This window comes from Homo sapiens, chromosome 3, assembly GCF_000001405.40.
Source record: "Homo sapiens chromosome 3, GRCh38.p14 Primary Assembly".
Lineage (NCBI taxonomy): Eukaryota > Metazoa > Chordata > Mammalia > Primates > Hominidae > Homo > Homo sapiens.
Genome location: NC_000003.12, coordinates 29,988,701 through 30,010,000, shown reverse-complemented (window position 1 = coordinate 30,010,000; position 21,300 = coordinate 29,988,701). Strand labels below are relative to the sequence as shown.

The 21,300-nt window shown below is 37.2% G+C and overlaps 1 protein-coding gene across 15 annotated transcripts in view; it reads right to left on the bottom strand.

The window, feature by feature from the left end:
• The window catches only part of RBMS3 (RNA binding motif single stranded interacting protein 3), a 729,325-nt gene that overhangs the window by 395 nt on the left and 707,630 nt on the right, over nucleotides 1–21,300 (bottom strand). For 11 of the 15 annotated variants that reach the window (XM_005265061.3, XM_017006180.2, XM_017006179.2 and 8 more), the window contains 2 exons: nucleotides 18,792–18,919; nucleotides 1–6,145 (listed from right to left, as the gene is read on the bottom strand). The exon at nucleotides 1–6,145 is cut by the window's left edge. In XM_005265061.3, the coding sequence (XP_005265118.1) occupies nucleotides 6,139–6,145; nucleotides 18,792–18,919 (135 nt within the window). In that variant the 3' untranslated portion in view covers nucleotides 1–6,138. Of the gene's footprint in view, nucleotides 6,146–18,682; nucleotides 18,920–21,300 lie in introns of those variants that run through there. The other 4 variants (NM_001177712.2, NM_014483.4, XM_024453454.2 and 1 more) reach the window with 2 other exon arrangements.

The window sequence follows — 21,300 nt, the reverse complement described above, 5'->3', positions numbered from 1 at the left end:
TCTTTTGAAATAAATGGAAGCATTTGTGTCCAGAATAGAGAAAACTTTTTCAAATATCTTTTTGAAATAATTTTTACAGTTCCTGAAAAGCATGGAATAACTTATTTTTTTATATATGAAGAGATAACATATTTGAGGGAGGAGGAAAAAACATCTTTCTCAATAATCTTAGACCAGAGGGTTTGAAACAAAATATAACATTAAAGTTACACTTTGGACATTGTTTAAATTTGATGTGATCATAAAAATAATCCACGGGGGTGTCAAAGTCATTCGGCCTTAATAAGTAACGCAGTCAAAATGTAATGAAAACAATGCAATAGTTTTGGTCAAAGAAAGATTTAAAAATATGAATATGACTGTACCAAGAGCTACCGTTATACTCTCATTGCAGAAGTCGTGTTGATCCGTGCTACTGGTTCAAATTTAGTGGAGTGAAGGAAACAAAAATAGCTTTCTTTTGAGGGAAGCTGAATTCTTTGCTATGATTTTTTTCCCATATATTCTGCAAGAATTTAGCCAACTCTCAATTATTTGTGGTAGATAAGAAAAGACATTATAGATAATCAAAATTTATGACATATAATGTACTGATATTAATTTTACCAATGATTTCAAACCCCCTTAAGAAATTAATACTTTATAAGAAATAAAATAATCAAATTTTATTTCCAATTGTTTGTTCCACCCTCAGGTGACATGCTAATAAAAGGAAACAGAGCCCAAGCCCTACACGCTGAAAAGAAAAAACAAAACACACCCACAAAGTAGATAATTAGCCCTTCAAAAATTGAGAGTGATTGTATTTATGCACAATTTAGAAATTGGGGCAGTAGTAAGAAAAGCTCAAGTATGACTCAGTGGCCTAGTGGTTCTTCCTGCAGATCCAAGCTTGACTGCACCTCTACTTCAGCTTTAAAGCTTTCTAAGTGGAAGAAAATTTTCTTGATATATTATTTTCCCTCACAAAAATAAACAGAAATGAATATTGAAAGCCATTCATCCCTTTTTTGCTATAGAGAGTATCTATATGTTAGAGTATAAAGCCAATGATAAAAGAAATTAATCTGGGGTGAACTCTTGTCTCTCACATCATAAAAGGTCTTTGGGGCCAGTTGGGGATTTAGTGTTTAGTTTTTGTACTTTCCTGAATGCTATGTAATCCGCAAAGGACAGCCATGACCAAGAGCATTTGGATTAAAGGACCAATTTCATACTTAAGAATGTTTGGTAAGAAATGTTAAACTTGAGTCAGACCCAACTGTCTTCCAATGCCACAGTGGATGTCATTTGTAAAACAAATTGATTCATTAATGAAATCCCATTATCACTTGCCACAGGAAGGGTAGAGTGTACAGAATCAATGAGCCTGTTTAAATTCTGTCAATCCCTCAGATTGAAGTGAGAGGCTGTCAGTCCCAGTAAGCTCAAAATTTTGAAGCATGCCAGCTACAATAACATGAAAGACAAAATCTCATCCTTCACTTTTTACTGAAGACAAAGTAATATAGATCAAGGTTCTATGACAGGTTTAAGCTTTATTATAGTGTGTGATTCCTCAAATGTGCTGAATGTTGTTATACACGTACATAAACATTGTCCCTTTACTTGATTTCAAATCATATAAAAAAACATTTATTAGTGAAACCCACTTGAGAATTTCTGCTTATCAGCTCATCTGCAGTGGTTCATGCACTCAAATTAAGAATGAAAATGAATTGCCAAATGTATTTTAATCTCCTATTAACATCATAATGTCTAGACAGCCTATTGAAACTTCTCCTCAGTCGTGAAGATGACTGCAAGAGTCCTAATTAAATCAAATTTCACTTTTCATTAATAGGGGTTTTAGGCCACTGTAAAAAAAAATAGGTATTTAGCAAATATCCCAATTATTTAAATAAAGAGGTTTTTTTGGGAAAAAAAAATTACTTTTTTGGAGTCATGCATAAATTGAAAGTACTTTTAAAGCACTTTGCAAGGGGTCCAAAGATGTATTTTTAGGCATAGTAAAATAAAGTGAAATTCCTGCTTTAAACAGCCTTCTTCAGTTCTCAGCCTTATATTTCTAATGAGAGTGCTTTTAACACCATGCAGTTTTTCATTAGAAGGGGGTGGAAGTGAGTCATATGCTTTCAAATGTGACAGATCTGCTAAGGTCACAGGAGGAAGTAATTCAAGTGAAATTTGGAGGTAACATTCTGAAATGTTGAAATCTACCAAGGAAACAAACTAATCCTCGCAAAACTAGAGTCAGGTAGAGGACTGTTTTAAAAGAGTATTATGACATTTGCAATATTCAAGACATGTCAGCATTCAAGGACAAACTGTCATCAGCACCTGCCAGTATGACCTTCAGTTCACTTGGGCTCATTACGTTGTCTTTAGAAGACATGGCCATGTATTGGGGAGCTCCAAGTTACCATGAACACTTTGCCTCCCTTGACAATACCATACCATTATTAAAAGAAAACTCACTGTTGCACTGACCATGAAACTAGAGTTTAGACGAGACAGTGTTTCTCTCATTTGGATTGTGGCTTTAGTTTGTTTCCTGATGTTTAAGCTAAGTCTTGGCTATTAAAGTCAAAAGGAAAAATGGAAACATCCAAATAAATGCTTGAAAATCTGGTGGACCAGAATGCACAGAAAATTAACTTCAACTTAAAGAAAAAAAAAAAGATTATAGTCCTAGTTAGGATGGGCGACAGAGCGAGACTCCGTCTCAAACAAACAAACAAACAAATCACTACAATATATTTTGTTGATTAAATTTGAATTCTGTTGTCTGTATATATTGAAAACTTATTTTGGTTTATTACCACACAATGTAATGCTGCTTACCTGTTGATGCTTTTTTTTCTCTCCCAGACTTGGCTCTTCAAAACAAGTCTTAGGTAAGACAACAGACAAAGCAGGGCAAATTTGAGTATGTGCCGTTGTTTTCCTTCTATTTTTTTTCTTTTTGGTTTGAAAACATACATTTTATAGAATGGCATGATATAAACTATCCAAACACAAAACACACATGAACACATCAAATGACAGGTCATTTCCTTTTGCAGAAACTGGCTTAAAAAATTGATATTGAAATTTCATAGTTGAAAAAAATATTTCTGAATGTACAAATAAAGCAGCAGTTTTGAATAGAAACAGGAAGTTACCTAGGCACATTCATTAGCCACATGGTAGCTACCTCTTAGCCTCATTGTTGATTGTGTGAATGAGACTTTCTTTGTATCACATTAATACATGTTTTTGGTTATTTTTTCACAAAAATGAAAGAAAGTATGTTGGTTTCATATTCAAATGAATTATGCCCAGGATAATCCTTATTTATACAAAAAGAGTTTAGAGAGTGAAAAAGAGAAACAGAAAATATGGTTCTCATACATGTCTTTTTGTACCCCAAAAAACTTTGGGGCCCACTTTTCAAAGATAAAAACTTAAGTGCCACCTTTATAATGCATGGGAAGCTGAAGGATGGAACAAAAGACAGTATAAATCTAGCATTTTCTCTAAAGCATGAAAAACCATAATGGTGAGTGTGACCAGTTGGAATTTCTCTATAACGCACACTACATTTTCTTGGATACACTTTTGTCTCCAATGTGACCATAAATATATGGAGTCATTCTCTGATTTGGGCTTCCAGTGCATGGGGTTGCAAATAAGAGAACCAGAGTTTACAGAAATAGTAGAATATTGACAATTTCACATGAGTCAACCTTATTACTCATGTTGACCTAATGGGAATATGATTTACCTTTAAAACTTTTTAGTTTTTAAAAAGCCTACCCTGTTTTATAGTACACTTAAATACATTTCCCTGCTTCTTTTGGACTAAGACAGGCTCCTGTGACTGACTTAGTTTTTGAAAAGAGTTTCACCTATTTGATTCAAAGGATTCATTCAGAAAGCAATCTAGTGAATGGTTCACTTAACAAATTCTATTCCATTGTCCTTAATTTCAGGTAAAACTGTAAAGGTTGAACACATATCATCTCATGAATTAAAAATGTAGATATATTTTACAGGTGGGTCAATTTAATTCATTTTAGACAAAGTTTTGCATTGTTCTAAATGCAAGTATTCCTCCTTGGCTTAAATGATTGATCAAACCTAATTCTTTTGGTTCTTATTGATATAAATCATACTGTTCCTTGATTGTCAACTAGCATTTTAAGGACTTCCCTAAATTCCACCAATAGAATTCTCAATCTTATTGGTCCTACATGCCTCAAAGAATTAAACTGAAAGAAAAAGTTCTTTCGGCAACACCAATATACAAAAATACAGTGAAAACAGGCAAAAAGATGATACCCCCTCCCCATTTGCAAAACCAAGGTGACTATTCATGGTAGGTGATGACAAAGACAGAGGTGTAAAGACAAAACCCAGAGGTGTTGTAATTTAGAGGGAAGACTATTGTTCAAATACAATGAGACCTTTCCAGGAGACCACTCACCATTTCACAGAATATCCCTAAGCTTTTTTGACAAATGACCTTTCAGACCAGGTCCAGAAAGTGTCTTTAGCTGAAATTTCATATAAAGAATATTCCACCTGTTAAATAAGCATCTTGGTTTACTAGTGGCCATCAATACAGGTTTCACTATTCAAGACAGCTAGTGAGAAACCAGAAAAGCTCACAGAATTTAAAGCCACTTGGCTCTATGAATCAGTTCATATCCAGAACTCTTCATGCTGAAACTGCTAAACACAGCAGGTACAAGCTTCTGCTATCAATGAATACACATTTAAAGAAAAGAGAGACAACTCCCCCCACCCTCTTTTTTTTTTTGCACTATGTAAAACACCAGTGGAAGGTAGTTTAAACAAACAACAAAGAAAGAACTGGTCCGGCCATGTCGGTCAAATAAATTTTTTTTTTTTTAAAAAGAAAAGAAACGAAAACAACCTCTATCTTCTGGACTGTAATAGGGTGTCACTTCATCTTTGGTATAAAATAGGCCATCCATAGGCTGAATTTGATCACAACTAGGAAAGACTACAGAAATTGTCAACAATTTCTCTATCTATTGCTTTTTTTTTGTTTTTTTTTTTGCACTTTTTGACCATAAGCTCCTATCTACTTAAGTTTTTTTTTTTAATGCTCTTAAGCTAGGTTTTGCAATGTGACAAGCAAAGCTGACTAAAAACTTTGTAAAGCTCATAAAAAAGACTGCAGATAAAAAGCACTAATGCTTTTGCTAGCGATCACGCTTTGTAAATTAAAAAAATCTGCATTCTGCCCCCCAAACACGCATTATTTCTAATGCAGTTGTTTTTAAACCAACCTTAATAACTTTACTGTAAAATGTTTTAGCCTTTTAGAATGATTCATGTCAACACTTAAGACAAAGTTCATGAAAAGTCCCAGCATTTTTCCAATTCTTGCAGTTGCCATGGTTTATCAACAAATTTTCTTCAAATGAAGAAAAACATTTTCATTTAAACTGTACAGTTTTTTCTTCACCCTAAAAACTCATAGTCTTAAACTTCTGTGCCAGTGAAAGCCGGCACAGTATTTCAATTCTTTCTTGATTTTTGTTTTCAACAAGACGTTGACAGCTTGCCTCGAGAGCCTTTGACGTCCTTAAAATTAAGGCAATTAAGATTCAAGATAAACCTTACCTACATATTTCTAAGAAAAAATAAAATAAAAAACCCACTAGATTAAAACAAGAAGGGAAAAAGAGAAAGTAGCTTAATTATTGAGGAAGACAATTTGTTTCCATTTCTATTGCCCACCTCTTGACATCAGGTTTTCTGTTAAAAAAAAAAAAAAAGTATCTACACCTTCAGAAAAATTCTGAATTCAATTCAAATGTTCTTCCACATAAAATATCAACCTTCAATGTTTTGTTTTTTGTAGTTTTTTTTTCCTCTTCTGGAAATTTTTTCTTTAATTAAAAAAATGATGGCAAAAATAAATTGTCAGACCACATGAAGACCATTTGCACAGCACATAAAAACTTTGCTTTCATTGGGTAAGGTATAACACTAAAAAAAAAACAACAACAACAACAAAAAAATGCATTCCATTGACGTCTGTGCAAACTGGAAGCCAACTTCTTGTTCAATGAAGTTTCTTCATTCAAGGCAAAGATTCAGACAGACATTCTTCAGTCCTGTTTATGGTCTGTGAAAACAATTGAATAAGAGTGGTCATTAAATTAAAGTAACTTTGAAATCACCTTCTGTGCCCTTTTCCAATGAGGCAGCTTTAAAAGATACCAAGCTTTCAATGTAACATAGTCACAAAAGCATCATAAAATCATACTGAGTCTATGAGATTGTCAAATTCTGCCACTTTCATTTAAATACAGATTTGGGCCAGAGAGTTTGTTTACATTAAAAATCAAGGGTAATAGCTTATGTTATAGCTCCTTACAGATCCTTTGAGTAATTCTGTTCCTTCAAAACTACTATAGGAATCATCACTAATTCCAGCAACAAATATGAGATTCTTTACTATGCACCCAAAATAACTGGGTTGTATGTTATCTCATGGTATTCATCACGTACATTTACATAAGGCTTATTGCCTGAGGAAATAAGTGAGACAGTTAAGAGGCCAATGCAGTTTTATTCTCTTTTCCTCTTCCCCTTCTCTACTTTCTTGTTCATTCCCCCTGTCAAGATTATAAATTTGTGAGAGCAGGAACTATATTTTACTTCTACCCTTTACCCTTTAGGCAGAGTGGTATATACACAATAGGTGTTTAACTAGAAAAATATCATTTTACTATATGCCACTTTGCTTAGCTCATGTCAAATAAAGACTTCTGCTACTGCCCCTTCTATGTTGCAAGGTTAACCTTCCAGCAGGATGACTTTACTCTTAGCTTTTTTGCCCACAGATTAGAAGTTTGTAAAATAACTTCAGAGTGGTGCTATAGAAAGAAGGACCTCTATATTATCTCTGTAAGTTACATTTAGCTGAAGGCCTCTTTGCTCAGGGTATTGGATGCCAGCAAAAAGTTATGCAAGTTCTTCTGATGCACAGTTGCTTAATTTAGTAAATTTGACTCAGTGTTACTATGTATAGTTTTACAGATTGTTTACTATATAAGATGTATGATTGAGGGAGTGGGGGCTAAATTTCAGCCCATCGTCTGCTCCCCAAGGTATGTACCCTGCAGGAAAGCTGTAACCCCAATTCACAGTGTTTTAAACTGTGTATTGTTTAGCTTGAGATGGCCTGGAAAGGACATAGTTTCCTGATTTGCAAAAAGCCATCATGTGAGCCAGCTACGGCAATTAGGAACCTGATTAATTTCTTCCTAAAATCATGTGAGGAAAGCAACTAGTTGAGAGATCGAATATTCAATTTTTATCAATAGGTTAAGTCCCTAAAAATATATTACTGTGTTATATGAGAAAGTGAGATATCTTCTAAGAAGTAAAGCAATTACAATTTTCATACAGTAGCAACAATAAGAAAAAATTTTATTAGTGGTAGTCATGGGAACCATGGTTTATATTTTAACTGTCTCTAGCTTTGCAAACTATAGACTTACTCCATTTATGTCTAAAAATCTATATTACTAAGGGAACAATTTTTTTTCTTGGTTATATAGTTGTGTGTGTATGTGTGTGTGTGTTGGGGGAGAGTCTGTTCTTTGTTCTCACTCCCATCTTCTACTCTGGTATTATTGTGTACTGAACCAAAAATGCCTAAAACACCATGAATCTCTTTAGCAGCTGCTCAGTGAATGATGTCTTATTCAGTGGACTACAGTGCATAGAATACCTGACCCATCAAGCTCAAGTACTTGATATTCACTGGTCTCAAAAGCATTGATATATTTATGAGCTAGGCTGGAACTACTTTAGGTTTTATAACTGTACACAAATGTTTCCAATAGCCCTCTCCCATAATTTGCTTGGTCTTTAAAATGGTCCCATTGCCACATGAAAACAAATGATGGCAAATAGATGGTAGTACTTTACAACTTCATATTTGCTGGCTGAAGTTTGAAGTAAAAAGGATCTTGCCATTTCAAAGAACTGAATTCACTCCTGCCGATCTCCTCTGTCCTAGAATAAATGTGAATGTGCACATTTACATAATACTTATGGATTGCACTGAAATTCCTAAAAACAGAAGGGTTTTAATTTTTTTTAGGCTGGGATCTTTGGCAACAAGAACATTTTAAGTTGGACATTTTAGAAATAAAATAAATAAATAAAATAAATAATAAAATAAGAAATAAAATAAAAAGAAATAACTTGAAAACAGGAATTCATGTGAAGAAATAATGAGTATGGAAATCAATTGCAAACGGTAAAACAGTGCACATACAATGTATTATTACAATATATTATAATACATAGAATGTTGTATTACTCACAAATGTGAAGGACATAATTTGCTCATCATTGATATACTGACAATGTATAGAAATTTGGTATTCATGGCAGTTCAGTTAGCCAGAGAAGATTTGAAGTATAAAAAGAACTTGCAATACCAGGGTTGAGATGAGGGCCTTCTAAAGTCAGAGTAAATATGGTAGAGTAGGAATTTCACTGAATTTAAGAATACAGAGTCATTTTGAATCCTCTCCTCACTCCTCCACCCTCAAAAAAAAGGCACAGTGAATATATTGGAACGTAACAAACGATAATCTTAGAAATCTATTTTAGAGGAGGAGGAAGTCTCAGAGATAGCCAAATGAAGCAATATTTTCCAGAATAATTCCTGACAGACTAGCTTCATGTAATGCTATGTAAAAAGTGGGATTCTGTGATCCAGAGTGTGGAAAAATGTCACAGTATATTCCCTCTACTGGATTACTCACAGGTAAACTTAAAGAAGTGGTTAGGGAACCCATAAAGAAAGCCATGAATATTTAAAAAAATTGTCCTTGAAAGAATTACATAGGTATCTAAATTACAAATTGTAGATGAAACTGTTAGACTTCTTTAATAATTTAATTTTTCTTTTCTTTTTTTTATTATACTTTAAGTTCTGGGATACATATGCAGAACGTGCAGGTTTGTTACATAGGTATACACACATGCCATGGTGATTTGCTGTACCCATCAACCCATCAACTACATTAGGTATTTATCCTAATATTATCCCTTCCTTAGTCCCCCACTCCCTGACAGGCCCCAGTATGTGATGCGCCCACCCCCGATGTCCATGTTCTCACTGTTCAACTCCCACTTATGAGTGAGAATATGCAGTGTTTGGTTTTCTGTTCTTGTGTTAGTTTGCTGAGAATGATGGTTTCCAGTTTCATCCATGTCCCTACAAAGGACATGAACTCATCCTTTTTATGACTGCATGGTATTCCATGGTGTATATATGCCACATTTTCTTTATCAAGTCTATCATTAATGGGCATTTGGGTTGGTTCCAACTCTTTGCTATTGTGAACAGTGCCACAGTAAACATTCGTGGGCATGTGTCTTTATAGTAGAATGATTTATAATCCTTTGGGTATATACCCAGTAATGGGATTGCTGGGTCAAATGGTATTTCTGGTTCTAGATCCTTGAGGAATCACCACACTGTCTTCCACAATGGTTGAACTAATTTACACTCCCACCAACAGTGTAAAAGTATTCCTATTTCTCCATATCCTCTCCAGCATCTGTTGTTTCCTGACTTTTTAATGATTGCCATTCTAACTGGCATGAAATGGTATCTCATTGTGGTTTTGATTTGCATTTCTCTGATAATCAGTGGTGATGAGCTTTTTTTCATGTTTGTTGGCTGCATAAATGTCTTCTTTTGAGAAGTGTCTGTTCATATCCTTTGTTTACTTTTTGATGGGGTTGTTTTTTTCTTGTAAATTTGTTCAAGTTCTTTGTAGATTCTGGATATTAGACCTTTGTCAGATGGGTAGATTGCAAACATTTTCTCCCATTCTGTACGTTGCCTGTTCACCCTGATGATAGTTTCTTTTGCTGTGCAGAAGTTCTTTAGTTTAATTAGATCCCATTTGTCTAGTTTGGCTTCTTTTTGCTGTTGCTTTTGGTGTTTTAGGCATGAAGTCTTTGCCCATGCCTATGTCCTGATTTTCTTCTAGGGTTTTTATGGTTTTAGGTCTTTTTTTAAATTATTATTTTATTATTATTATACTTTAAGTTTTAGGGTACAGGTGCACAATGTGCAGGTTTGTTACATATGTACACATGTGCCATGTTGGTGTGCTGCACCCATTAACTCATCATTTAGCATTAGGTATATCTCCTAATGTTATCCCTCCCCACTCCCCCCACCCCACAACAGTCCCCGGTGTGTGATGTTCCCCTTCCTGTGTCCATGTGTTCTCATTGTTCAATTCCCACCTATGAGTGAGAACATGCAGTATTTGGTTTTTTGTCCTTGTGATAGTTTGCTGGGAATGATGGTTTCCAGTTTCATCCATGTCCCTACAAAGGACATGAACTCATCATTTTTTGTGGCTGCATAGTATTCCATGGTGTATATGTGCCACATTTTCTTAATCCAGACTATTTGGACATTTAGGTTGGTTCCAAGTCTTTGCTATTGTGAATAGTGCCGCTATAAACATACATGTGCATGTGCCTTTATAGCAGCATGATTTATAATCCTTTGGGTATATACCCAGTAATGGGATGGCTGGGTCAAATGGTATTTCTAGTTCTAGATCCCTGAGGAATCACCACACTGACTTCTACAATGTTTGAACTAGTTTACAGTCCCACCAACAGTGTCAAAGTGTTCCTATTTCTCCACATCCTCTCCAGCACCTGTTGTTTCCTGACTTTTTAATGATTGCCATTCTAACTGGTGTAACATGATATCTCATTGTGGTTTTGATTTGCATTTCTCTGATGGCCAGTGATGATGAGCATTTTTTCATGTGTCTTGTGGCTGCATAAATGTCTTCTTTTGAGAAGTGTCTGATCATATTCTTTGCCCACTTTTTGATGGGGTTTTTTGTTTTTTTCTAGTTTGAGTTCATTGTAGATTCTGGATATTAGCCCTTTGTCAGATGAGTAGGTTGCGAAAATTTTCTCCCATTCTGTAGGTTGCCTGTTCACTCTGATGGTAGTTTCTTTTGCTGTGCAGAAGCTCTTTAGTTTAATTAGATCCCATTTGTCAATTTTGGCTTTTGTTGCCATTGCTTTTGGTGTTTTAGACATGAAGTCCTTGCCCATGCCTATGTCCTGAATGGTATTGCCCAGGTTTTCTTCTAGAGTTTTTATGGTTTTAGGTCTAACATTTAAGTCTTTAATCCATCCATCTTGAATTAATTTTTGTATAAGGTGTAAGGAAGGGATCCAGTTTCAGCTTTCTACATATGGCTAGCCAGTTTTCCCAGCACCATTTATTCAATAGGGAATCCTTTCCCCATTGCTTGTTTTTGTCAGGTTTGTCAAAGATTAGATAGTTGTAGATATGCGGCATTATTTCTGAGGGCTCTGTTCTGTTCCATTGGTCTGTATCTCTGTTTTGGTACCAGTACCATGCTGCTTTGGTTACTGTAACCTTGTAGTATAGTTTGAAGTCAGGTAGCGTGATGCCTCCAGCTTTGTTCTTTTGGCTTAGGATTGACTTGGCGATGTGGGCTCTTTTTTGGTTCCATATGAACTTTAAAGTAGTTTTTTCCAATTCTGTGAAGAAAGTCATTGGTAGCTTGATGGGGATGGCATTGAATCTATCAATTACCTTGGGCAGTATGGCCAATTTCACGATATTGATTCTTCCTACCCATGAGCATGGAATGTTCTTCCATTTGTTTGTATCCTCTTTTATTTCATTGAGCAGTGGTTTGTAGTTCTCCTTGAAGAGGTCCTTCACATCTCTTGTAAGTTGGATTCCTAGGTATTTTATTCTCTTTGAAGCAATTGTGAATGGGAGTTCACTCATGATTTGGCTGTTTGTCTGTTATTGGTGTATAAGAGTTCTTGTGATTTTTGTACATTGATTTTGTATCCTGAGACTTTGCTGAAGTTGCTTATCAGCTTAAGGAGATTTGGGGCTGAGATGATGGGGTTTTCTAGATATACAATCATGTCATCTGCAAACAGGGACAATTTGACTTCCTCTTTTCCTAATTGAATACCCTTTATTTCTTTCTCCTGGCTGATTGCCCTGGCCAGAACTTCCAACACAATGTTGAATAGGAGTGGTGAGAGAGGGCATCCCTGTCTTGTGCCAGTTTTCAAAGGGAATGCTTCCAGTTTTTGCCCATTCAGTATGATATTGGCTGTGGGTTTGTCATAGATAGCTCTTATTATTTTGAAATACGTCCCATCGATACCTAATTTATTAAGAGTTTTTAGCATGAAGGGTTGTTGAATTTTGTCAAAGGCTTTTTCTGCATCTATTGAGATAATCATGTGGTTTTTGTCTTTGGCTCTGTTTATATGCTGGATTACATTTATTGATTTGCGTATATTGAACCAGCCTTGCCTCCCAGGGATGAAGCCCACTTGATCATGGTGGATAAGCTTTTTGATGTGCTGCTGGATTCGTTTTGCCAGTATTTTATTGAGGATTTTTGCATCAATGTTCATCAAGGATATCGGTCTCAAATTCTCTTTTTTTGTTGTGTCTCTGCCCGGCTTTGGTATCAGAATGATGCTGCCCTCATAAAATGAGTTAGGGAGGATTCCCTCTTTTTCTGTTGATTGGAATAGTTTCAGAAGGAATGGTACCAGTTCCTCCTTGTACCTCTGGTAGAATTCGGCTGTGAATCCATGTGATCCTGGACTCTTTTTGGTTGGTAAGCTATTGATTATTGCCACAATTTCAGTTCCTGTTATTGGTCTATTCAGAGATTCAACTTCTTCCTGGTTTAGTCTTGAGAGAGTGTATGTGTCCAGGAATTTATCCATTTCTTCTAGATTTTCTAGTTTATTTGCGTAGAGGTGTTTGTAGTATTCTCTGATGGTAGTTTGTATTTCTGTGGGATCGGTGGTGATATCCCCTTTATCATTTTTTATTGCGTCTATTTGATTCTTCTCTCTTTTTTTCTTTATTAGTCTTGCTAGCGGTCTATCAATTTTTTTGATCTTTTCAAAAAACCAGCTCCTGGATTCATTAATTTTTTGAAGGGTTTTTTGTGTCTCTATTTCCCTCAGTTCTGCTCTGATTTTAGTTATTTCTTGCCTTCTGCTAGCTTTTGAATGTGTTTGCTCTTGCTTTTCTAGTTCTTTTAATTGTGATATTAGGGTGTCAATTTTAGATCTTTCCTGCTTTCTCTTGTGGGCATTTAGTGCTATAAATTTCCCTCTACACACTGCTTTGAATGTGTCCCAGAGATTCTGGTATGTTGTGTCTTTGTTCTTGTTGGTTCAAAGAACATCTTTATTTCTGCCTTCATTTCGTTATGTACCCAGTAGTCATTCAGGAGCAGGTTGTTCAGTTTCCATGTAGTTGAGCAGTTTTGAGTGAGATTCTTAATCCTGAGTTCTAGTTTGATTGCACTGTGGTCTGAGAGATAGTTTGTTATAATTTCTGTTCTTTTACATTTGCTGAGGAGAGCTTTACTTCCAAGTATGTGGTCAATTTTGGAATAGGTGTGGTGTGGTGCTGAAAAAAATGTATATTCTGTTGATTTGGGGTGGAGAGTTCTGTAGGTGTCTATTAGGTCCGCTTGGTGCAGAGCTGAGTTCAATTCCTGGGTATCCTTGTTGACTTTCTGTCTCGTTGATCTGTCTAATGTTGACAGTGGGGTGTTAAAGTCTCCCATTATTAATGTGTGGGAGTCTAAGTCTCTTTGTAGGTCACTAAGGACTTGCTTTATGAATCTTGGTGCTCCTGTATTGGGTGCATATATATTTAGGATAGTTAGCTCTTCTTGTTGAATTGATCCCTTTACCATTATGTAATGGCCTTCTTTGTCTCTTTTGATCTTTGTTGGTTTAAAGTCTGTTTTATCAGAGACTAGGATTGCAACCCCTGCCTTTTTTTGTTTTCCATTGGCTTGGTAGATCTTCTTCCATCCTTTTATTTTGAGCCTATGTGTGTCTCTGCAAGTGAGATGGGTTTCCTGAATACAGCACACTGATGGGTCTTGACTCTTGATCCAATTTGCCAGTCTGTGTCTTTTAATTGGAGCATTTAGTCCATTTACATTTAAAGTTAATATTGTTATGTGTGAATTTGATCCTGTCATTATGATGTTAGCTGGTTATTTTGCTCATTAGTTGATGCAGTTTCTTCCTAGTCTTGATGGTCTTTACATTTTGGCATGATTTTGCAGTGGCTGGTACCGGTTGTTCCTTTCCATGTTTAGTGCTTCCTTTAGGAGCTCTTGTAAGGCAGGCCTGGTGGTGACAAAATCTCTCAACACTTGCTTGTTTGTAAAGGATTTTATTTCTCCTTCACTTATGAAGCTTAGTTTGGCTGGATATGAAATTCTGGATTGAAAATTCTTTTCTTTAAGAATGTTGAATATTGGCCCCCACTCTCTTCTGGCTTGTAGTAGAGTTTCTGCTGAGAGATCCGCTGTTAGTCTGATGGGCTTCCCTTTGAGGGTAACCCGACCTTTCTCTCTGGCTGCCCTTAACATTTTTCCCTTCATTTCAACTTTGGTGAATCTGACAATTATGTGTCTTGGAGTTGCTCTTCTCGAGGAGTATCTTTGTGGCGTTCTCTGTATTTCCTGAATCTGAACGTTGGCCTGCCTTGCTAGATGGGGGAAGTTCTCCTGGATAATATCCTGCAGAGTGTTTTCCAACTTGGTTCCATTCTCCCCATCACTTTCAGGTACACCAATCAGATGTAGATTTGGTCTTTTCACATAGTCCCATATTTCTTGGAGGCTTTGCTCATTTCTTTTTATTCTTTTTTCTCTAAACTTCCCTTCTCGCTTCATTTCATCTTCCATTGCTGATCCCCTTTCTTCCAGTTGATCGCATCGGCTCCTGAGGCTTCTGCATTCTTCACGTAGTTCTTGAGCCTTGGTTTTCAGCTCCATCAGCTCCTTTAAGCACTTCCCTGTATTGGTTATTCTAGTTATACATTCTTCTAAATTTGTTTCAAAGTTTTTGACTTCTTTGCCTTTGGTTTGAATGTCCTCCCATAGCTCAGAGTAATTTGATCTTCTGAAGCCTTCTTCTCTCAGCTCGTCAAAGTCATTCTCCATCCAGCTTTGTTCCGTTGCTGGTGAGGAACTGCGTTCCTTTGGAGGAGGAGAGGCACTCTGCGTTTTAGAGTTTCCAGTTTTCCTGTTCTGTTTTTTCCCCATCTTTGTGGTTTTATCTACTTTTGGTCTTTGATGATGGTGATGTACAGATGGGTTTTTGGTGTGGATGTCCTTTCTGTTTGTTAGTTTTCCTTCTAACAGAGAGGATCCTCAGCTGCAGGTCTGTTGGAATACCCTGCCGTGTGAGGTGTCAGTGTGCCCCTGCTGGGGGGTGCCTCCCAGTTAGGCTGCTCGGGGGTCAGGGACCCACTTGAGGAGGCAGTCTGCCCATTCTCAGATCTCCAGCTGCGTGCTGGGAGAACCACTGCTCTCTTCAAAGCTGTCAGACAGAGACATTTAAGTCTGCAGAGGTTACTGCTGTCTTTTTGTTTGTCTGTGCCCTGTCCCCAGAGGTGGAGCCTACAGAGGCAGGCAGGCCTCCTTGAGCTGTGGTGGGCTCCACCCAGTTGGAGCTTCCGGGATGCTTTGTTTACCTAATCAAGCCTGGGCAATGGCGGGTGCCCCTCCCCCAGCCTCACTGCCGCCTTGCAGTTTGATCTCAGACTGCTGTGCTAGCAATCAGCGAGACTCCGTGGGGGTAGGACCCTCCGAGCCAGGTGCGGGATATAATCTTGTGGTGCGCCATTTTTTAAGCCCGTGGGAAAAGTGCAGTATTTGGGTGGGAGTGACCCGATTTTCCAGGTGCCGTCCGTCACCCCTTTCTTTGACTCAGAAAGGGAACTCCCTGACCCCTTGCGCTTCCCAAGTGAGGCAATGCCTCGCCCTGCTTCGGCTTGCGCACGGTGCATGCACCCACTGACCTGCGCCCAGTCTGGCACTCCCTAGTGAGATGAACCCGGTACATCAGATGGAAATGCAGAAATCACCCATCTTCTGCGTCGCTCACACTGGGAGCTGTAGACTGGAGCTGTTCCTATTCGGCCATCTTGGTTCCTCCCCCCGATACAGAGATTTTTTAAAATAAGAAATTGACTTGCACAATTATTAAGATTGAGAAGTCCCATGATCTACAATGATCTGCAGCTGGCAGACTGGAGACCCAGGAGAGCCAACAGTGTAATTCTAGTTTGAGTCTGAAAGTCTGAGAACTGAAAGAGTTGATGTAAATTCTAGTTCTATAGCTGGCAGGCTCAAGATCTAAGAAGAACCAATATTTTTGTTTAAGTTCAAAGGCAGGAAAAGACCAATGTCCTAGCTCTAGCAGTCAAGTAACAGGAGTTCCTTCTTCTTCATTCATGAGAGGTTCAATCTTTTTGCTCTATTCAGGGGTTCAACTAACTGATTGGATGGAAGCCTCCCACAGTGGGGGGTGGAATCTGCTTTAACTGATTCAAATATTAACCTCATCCAAAATCACCCTCACAGACATACCCAGAAATATTGTTTTGCCAAATATATGGGTACCCTGTGGCTCAGTCAAATGGTCACATAAAATTTCCCATTACCCACAGTATTTCTCATCTCCCACCAATCAATGTCTCTTGCTATGCTTTATACATAGCCAATATCTGCTCCTTTCCCCACATATAACCCGTTGACCAGGCTGAAAAAAAATTTCAATATGCTTGGACTGGAGTTTCAGAGTCTACCACAGTATTAGTTTTGCACATAAAAGTGATTCACACAGGCTATGTCAATTAAATTAACAATAACATATGGCTTTACTCAGTAACAATCTTTTCTGAAAGTCATTATTGCTATTAATAATGGCAATCATAATAATACCTTACATTTGTAAGTTTAAGTCATATTCTGAGCAAATTTAATTTGTAAAACTGACTTTAGACCTAAACCACACATAATAGAGTTTACTGCTTTGATGAATCTAACAAACAAATCTCTTAATGTATACTGAAGTTAAAAAGTGACAGATTCTCTTCTTGCTCAACTTTTAGTCAGGCTACTGAGTCCCCTTCTTGAGTAGGCGTAGACTTTTGCCCCCATTCTTGCCAGTTCTTTATAGCCTAGTTTTAGCAAGAATCTTGCTAAGTCAGTTTAAAGAGAATAGCCTATCGTTGATATGACCACCCTCAATATCTGATCAATTTTCTCATCCCCTACATTTGATCTTATCATTCCTTGATCTGCCTTCAGCAAAAATCCTGTCAATTTAGGTTAGCAGTAATTCCCCACTCACTGACCCCCTCACTCGGCTTGTTGGCTACAGATCCCCAGCTGTCTTTGCTGTGTTCTGAACTGAGCATGCTCTCTCTTCCCCTATTGCAATAATTTTAATACCTATAGTTCTTTTTTTTTGAGACGGAGTCTTGCTCTGTCACCCAGGCTGGAGTGCAGTGGCACAATCTCTGCTCACCGCAAGCTGCTCCGCCTCCCGGGTTCACGCCATTCTCCTGCCTCAGCCCCCCACCCCGACCCCAGAGTAGGTGGGACTACAGGCACCCGCCACCATGCCCAGCTAAGTTTTTTGTATTTTTAGTAGAGACGGGGTTTCACCGTGTTAGCCAGGATGGTCTCTATCTCCTGACCTCGTGATCCGCCCGCCTCGGCCTCCCATAGTGCTGGGATTACAGGCGTGAGCCACTGCGCCCGGCCTAATACCTATGGTTTTTAATGGCAAAAACCGCAATTACTTTTGTACCAACCTAATAAATAAATTATTTCTTAATGTTTTAACAAATATCAGAATATTTTTTTTCTTTAATAAGAAAAATTATTTTAAATAACGGAGCAGCACTCTGTAGACAGGCAGGATTGTCGGGGGATTCTCTATTCATCAGGGATTTTATTGCTATCTACAAAGTTGAATAGTTTGCATGCCAAGACACTTGTATGAAGACTTTACTTTTCTAAATTCTTTTGGTTTCAATAAACAGCCCTCAAACTTTACCAAAGTTTGCCAAATGTTTACTCAACACAAAGCCAAATGTACTTTGCATTATGAGTGATTTAAGGATTTTCAAGAGTAATTCTGAAAATCCTTGCCATTTTATTCCTGAATAAGACCATATTTTATATTGCTTCATATCTTACAATACCCTTTTTCATCGACATTTAACTGTGTATTCAAAGTAACCCTACAAGGGGGAGTGTTACTGTCTTCCTTTAAGAGTGAGGAGACTGAGACTCTATTCAGTTTCAGGTAGGAATATTATAATTTTTCCAATAATAAATATGGTAGCTTTTTTTTTTAATGGCTGCAGTGCCTCTCTCTATATCAAGCTTTTTCAAAGTGAACTGCTACATTGACTGTTTGGCCAAGTGACTTGCTTTGGCTAATGAGACAGTAGAAAATTAGTAATAAACAGAATTAAGAGTGCTTGTACATTTGGGCTTGCTCTTTACTATTCTTGAAATTCTGAGACTTCCATGTGAATTAGCCTGCTGGAGGATCAGAAACATATGGCCTAGTCACTTCCATCACACATCCAACAGCTAGCAACACCCAGAAGCAGAGATGCATAGATAATCAGCAGCTGTTCCTAGATGTTTGATTCCTGTCAAGATCAGAAGAACCATCCACCCAAAGTTAGCCCAAATTTCAAACCCACATAATCATGAGCTAAATAAATGCCTGTTGCTAAGTTTGGGATGGTTTATATTTCAGCAAAAGCTAACACATACAACATGAGAGAGTGATGTCAAGATGGCTGATCTTGAGGAAAAGAGCTTAGCACAGCCCAGACTTACTTAGACTGTTGGTAAGAATATGCAGGTGCATGTTCGTTGGATGTGTCCACTGCTATCTGTTGCTGCTGACCACTGGTGTCCTGGGATGAAGGTGCCACTGTCTGGGGAGAGGTATCAGCAACAACACCCTAAGGAGGCAAATAAGAACATAAAAGCCTTACTTGCTTCAGTGAAGGGCCCTCTCTAGATAGGCTGTAAGTACCCCTCTTCTATTTGGCTTAAGTAGAGATACCCTCAGCTACATGAAGTCACAATAAGTACTCAGAGGAAACCCAGAGAGCACATTTAGATAAGGGCTAAGTAATTCATCCTAATGTGACACCAAGAAGCCTTGCCATTAGAAGTTGTTGGAGTAGTTAAGTGGTCAGAAAATAATTTTGCCTATACTTGGAACTTTTAAACCAGGTTTGCACATTTATCCACAATAAATGCCAATTTATCCTCATTCAGGATTCCTATACAAACTTGTATGTCCAAACATTTTCCTGGCATATTTCACTGTATCATGTCTATACCATTTGGGATAACAATGGAAAGTGACCTTAATAAAAATATACATCAAAGTTTGGAAATCTTTTAAAGGATGCTATTAAGTAGATTTTTCTCTCCAGTAATTTGATTTGATTTGTTTTGTTTTCTGGTATATGAACTGAAAGTCATCAAGAAGTTTTAAGAAAACAACAACAAAACTTGTCCTTAATTTTGGTTTGCTTTTCCTTCACCCTATTTTTTTTTTTTTTTTTTTTTTTGTTTCTCACAGATGCTGGCAAGAGTGGATTTCCGGAATTGGTCACAATCAGGAATATATTTTTGGAATCCAGAGAGGCATAGGTGATTTTATTTGGTTGTTAGTAGGCCTAAGAAGAGCACCTATCCTGATAAATTTTCCTGGTTTTATTTGTAGTCCTGGATACCTGCAGTGATGTCAAATTTCAGAAGTTCTTGGTTAATTCTGTCGCTGAAATTCCCTAAATTTCTTCTTTAGAATTTGAAAAGTCTCTCTATTCAATCTTTTCTTTCCTAATTTACTATTTGGTATTATTTATTTTTTGAAACCTCCCACCTTTATAGATATTGATAAATGTTCAATGAGTGTTTTCACATAGAGAATGAATTAATGCTTTTCCTTATAATCACTGGTTCAAGGCAATATATCAGAGTATATTTATATTTTTATCAATGAAATATTTCTTTTAATCCCTAAATATAATTAGACTGTTTCCAATAAGCCACGCTGTCAAATGTCTCATAATAATCATCAAAATGGTCAAATTTTGTAGATAAGTATTTGTCTTTGGTGTACACAGAGAAATGAAAATATGTGGCAGAAGTTTACACTTAAACTGCCTAGAATGTCCAGATTTTTAATTTTCTTATCGCATAGGTGCTTTTTGAAAGCTAAATATACCAAAGAACATGAAATTTAATCATATATTCTTGCAATTCTGAAAAGACAATTAAAACTGTTTAAGATGACACATTCTTTGAGACCTATAGGTCTAGAACACATGAAAGATTTAAACATTGGAACTCCTTGATTTCCATCAGTGCCCTGTTAAACATCTGGATTTCCTAAACCTTGGTATGAACAAACATTTGTCACACACCAAAACCAGGAAACATTTTAGAAGATCCAATTTAGTCCGTAAAGGTTTCCCTCAATCTCAGAGATTGGGAGTCTTGGTGAATTTTTATGTGGAGTGGTACCAACACAGTAGTTGCTTGCCAACAAATGGAGTAGCAAAGACATCAGCTGCAGGGGATTCCCAGCTGCTGAGAAGGAATGCACGGTGACCATAATGCACCTGTGCATCAGGAGAGGGGAAAGAAGGGCAATAAAACAGTAATGGCTAGAACCAGAAAGAAGAATATAGGTACCTAAGTGTTTTACCACCATCTGCATAGCTCTATGCCCTCTCCATTTCTATGTAGTTTATGGCCCTGTCCAGTAAAATGATGTGTAGAGGGCATAGATTTATCCCAATGGAAAGAGAGAATGAAAGCAGCAAAGCTTCCATTAAGGACAAGCTGACATCATCATTCATGATATCTACAGCAATAAGAGTTGTACAACTTCTTTCTTGTCTGTAAGAAGCTGTAAACCTGTGCAGGTTCATGGCCTAGAGCAATGGTTTCTAGTCTTTGGTACGTATTAGAATCATCTAAGATCTTTTAAAAATATGATGTTCAGTCTATACTCCAGACAAATAAATCATAATCTCTGGGGATAGGACTCAGGAATCAATATTTTTAAAGCTCTCAAAATAATTCAAATGTGCAGAAAATTTGAGAACCAGTGCATTAGTCCAGTGTCTCTCAAATTTTAATGTGCATTTGGATCACTGAGTGATCATCTTAAAATGCAAATTCAGATGCAGTAGGTCTGGATAGTACCTAAAAGTCTACATTTCTTTTTTTTTCCTTTTCTTCCTTCTGATCTTCCTTCTGACAGGGTCTCACTGTTTGACTGTTTGACCCAGGCTGGTCTCGAACTTCTGGTCTCAAGAGA